Here is a 4196-nt window from a genome sequence, read left to right as displayed (position 1 = left end):
GATGTGGGTACAGGCATGTTATCTGGCAGTAACATAGCTTCAAAAGTCGAAGCAAAATCCCCTACTTATATGAAATTGGCTTTTATAACATTGCGAAAACAAGCCCAATGCCTGAATTCAAATTCTTCATATTTAAGCAGTGGAAAAACAAACGCTGCCTCTCCTTAGTGAGACAGCTTGCAAAGTCACATGGTAAAGTTCATGGCGAAAGGAGAGGAACTGGGACCAGGAATTTAAAGAATCCACATCTTTCTTTACTAAATAAGAGTAAGTGCATCGCATGCCCTAGGGTGTGTCTAGCATTCTCCTATGTTGTTTCCTAGTGTGCACTGCAATTTTGAACTTAATAGATTTTCGTCCTGGGAGTTTTTGTTAACATTGGACCCTTAGATCCATCTACTTCATAATTTCTGGACTACCATGGACATTTATCATTGTAGGCATTGTAGAATTATTGGAGTATTTATGTGAGATTGTAATGAGCGTATAGAAGACTTAAGACTTACCATGGGGCAAGCACTGAATTATCTCAATCAGATGCTACATAAAGATTAAAGGGACCAATGAGCAAATGTGATCACAAAGCATCTCTTCCAGAGTAGAATTCTAAGAGGAGCAATAGGAGTGAAGCACTATATGAGAAATAGGTTGGCACTCATTTCAAGGACAGTGTACAATTATAATTTAAAAGGCCATTAAATCAGTCAGCAGCTTCTGCAACTAAAGGTTAAGATACCTACCCAGTGCTGCAAGACTCTTTAATTTATCATTGTCAACATTTTATTATAGATATTATAGTATAAATTGATATACAATGGAATCAAGGAAATTTGTCATTCATCTCAGAAATAGCCAATTGAACAAAAACATAAAAACAAACAACAAAAAATCCACTCCAGATTTAGAAGAGATGGCACAGCAGTTGAAAATCTGTGAAAAGACACAAGAATAAACCATTTAGAATAATGGATTAATGAGGCAGGTGAAAGCTCTCTGTGATGGTCAGGTACTTCCAGCTTAAGCATTTGGATGTATCTATTGCATAAGAGAATGTACCTATCAAATAAGGTGGTAAAAATTTTGAACTTGGCCGTGCAGTTGCTGTGGCAGATGCAGCCCCTACTGGCCTCGAGTGCTGAGTGGGAGGGCAAGGGATGGCTACTTCTATTCAGCACTGCCATGCAGAGAACTACTGGTGAGGACTGCAGTTCTGAGGACCCCCCTGATGAGCTTGGGTGCTCTCTTGCTGAATGGGCCTTAAGGGTGAAAGCTGTTAAACTGGAGAAGGAAGTCCAGGATTTAACGATGAGATACCAGAGAGCTGTAGCTGACTGTGAAAACATAAGGAGGGGAACCCAGAGATGTGTGGAAAACTCCAAGATATTTAGAATCCAGAGTTTCTGTAAGATCTTGGTGGAGGTGTCCACATTTTGGAGAAGACTACAGAGTGCATTTCTGAAGAATCAGACCCTGTGGACCAGAAGCTCACTCTGGAGAAGGTCTTCCAAGGGTTGTCACTTTTTACTACCTTATCAAATAAGGTAGCAAAAAGTTAAAAAGAAACACGTGCCTTCTGGGGTAATTACTGACTAGTCATTATTAGGGATATACACTATTTTATAGAGGAAAAACAATTTTTAAATGTCACAAAGGCCACACAGAACTTCTGAACAGAAAGAGAAAAATAAAGGAGAGGAAAAAACAGAAGGAGAAAAAAAAAAGCAGAGTTGTTAAATTATGTAGCTCTATCACAAGCAAAACATTGAATGAAATAAGGTAGATATAAAAGAGTATAAATATGTAGTACTTCATTGATATAAAGTTAAAATATATAAGCAATATTAATATACTGTGTCAGAAACTATGTTAGTCGAGATTCCAAGCCAACATATGCTAAGCAAAGGCAGATAGGAGGAAACTTTTTAAGTTTGTTATCATGTTATTAATATTGTTGTCGGTTTCCCAGATGTGTTTCATTTGTTAGAATTAATTTAGCTGTATGCTTTTCACTTTGTACTTTTTGATAACTATACAATGCGTCTCAAAAAATGTTAATTACACATTCCCACAATAAATTACCATTTTTATACCCATAGTTTGGGAAAAAGTTAAAACTGTGATATAGCAAGAAGTAGGAGATAATGTAGTTAACGTACTATTTTGTTAAAAGTCCGCATTATTCAATAAGGTCAAAAATACACATGCATATGATAATAAAATTCTACCGATTGGTACATATCCTAAATGATCTCTGAGGTATGTGCCATATGAAATGTGTATATGAATATTCATATCTCATATCTCATAATAACAGAAAAAAAGCAAAAAATTGTTGATGAAATATTATTTGGATTCATAATATGTGTTATAATCAAGTGGTGATATACAATATTACAATGAAATTAATAAGTAACACTTTTACAACCCAAGTTGAATAAATCTATAAAACATAATGTTGACAAAAATAAGCAAGTCATGAACTAATGTAAATAAGATGTTTACATTTATATAAATTTCAAAATCAAGCAAATTATTAAACTAGTTAATGCACAAGAGCTTATATATATGGTAAATTGATAAAGCATAGTGCAGAAATAAATATACAAAAATACCATATAGGTTACCTCTAGGGATGAAATGAGTGATTTTGATACAACTGAGAGGGACATATATATAGGTACTTAAAGATAATAGTAATGTTATACTTGCGAATTGGTAAATAGTGTTTATGAACATTCACTTTATTAATTACTCTTTAAAGTGTGCCTATGGATATAAATAATCCCTCTTGAATAATTGATATTAACACTTTAATAATCTTTACATTTGTCAGTTGAGAAAAATGACAAGTCTCAATCCTTTTAGAAGATTTATTTGCCAAAGTTGAGGACACGGCTGGGAGACAGATCTATGCCTTTCTCCCAAGATGATTTTGAGGGCTCCAAATTTAAAGGGGAAAGGGTGCAATATTGAGAAGTACACAATTTTCATGTAAGAAGGAGGTAGAGAAAAATAGTCACTCATGCTTTTGTCTGGCTCAGTGAATCTGCATTTTTTACATAAGATGACATAAAGAAAAGTGGCAGAAAAAAAATGAGAGGAATCTACATTTTACATAAGATAACACAGACAGAACGGGACAGGAGAACAATCAGATATGCATTTTTGTCTGGTGTTGCGGGGAGGGAGGGCCTGGACTTGTAAATATAAGTTATCAATCTGCATTGCCATAGTGAAATTGCAACAGCTCACTGGGAATTTCCTTGGGAGCAAAATGTGAGGGAGGCGTGTTGCTTTTCATTTGTAGCCACCTTATTTACGAACCAAAAAGGGGGAGGTAGGTTTGCATGACACACTTCCCAGCTTGACTTTTCCTTTTGGCTAAATAAGTGTGGGGCCCCAAGATTTAATTTCCTTTCACACATTAAAACTTCATAAAATTTATGTCAAAAATGTAAATGAATTTAAAGCTCCATTTTTACATATAGAAATGTGGAACAAAAGGAAGCAAAAAATGTACATAGATAAATAACAAAAATACATTGAGGGCAGGTGCGGTGGCTCACGCCTGTAATCCCAGCACTTTGGGATGCCAAGGTGGGTGGATCACTTGTCAGGAGTTCAAGACCAGCCTGGCCAATATGGAGAAACCCTGTCTCCACAAAAAATACACACAAAAAAATTAACCAGGCGTGGTGGCCCATGTCTGTAATCCCAGATACTCGGGAGGCTGAGGCACGAGAATCGCTTGAACCTGGGAGGCAGAGGTTCCAGTGATCCGAGATCATGCCACTGCACTCCAGTCTGGGTGGCAGAGCGAGACTCAGTCTCGAAAATAAAATAAAATAAATAAAAATAAATTGAAAAGCACTTCACCAAACAATCACAAAATAATACCATCAATACTAAGTGTATGTACTCTTACTCTGTGGCACAAGCGTGAGAGAACTCATTGACATTATTTGGCAGCTTTATTGAAATATAGCTTCAGCCTGGGGGACAGAGTGAGACTCCATCTCTAAAAAAATAAAATAATAAAAAAAATAAAATAAAACACAGCATATACAAATATGGATTGGATTCTTTGGACCAAATGTTCCAAAGAAAATATGGCAATATTTTTCAAATTTTCAAATTTTATTTTATTGATGCAGAAACTTCAACTTAAAAAAAGTAACTAAAATGCAGACAAAATT

General features: G+C 35.5%; 1 pseudogene; it reads left to right on the top strand.

The window, feature by feature from the left end:
• GRPEL2P1 (GRPEL2 pseudogene 1) lies at positions 1076-1522 on the top strand (annotated as a pseudogene).

This window comes from Homo sapiens, chromosome 13 (assembly GCF_000001405.40).
Source record: "Homo sapiens chromosome 13, GRCh38.p14 Primary Assembly".
In the NCBI taxonomy this organism is placed as follows: domain Eukaryota; kingdom Metazoa; phylum Chordata; class Mammalia; order Primates; family Hominidae; genus Homo; species Homo sapiens.
This window is presented reverse-complemented; position numbering and strand designations above follow the sequence as displayed.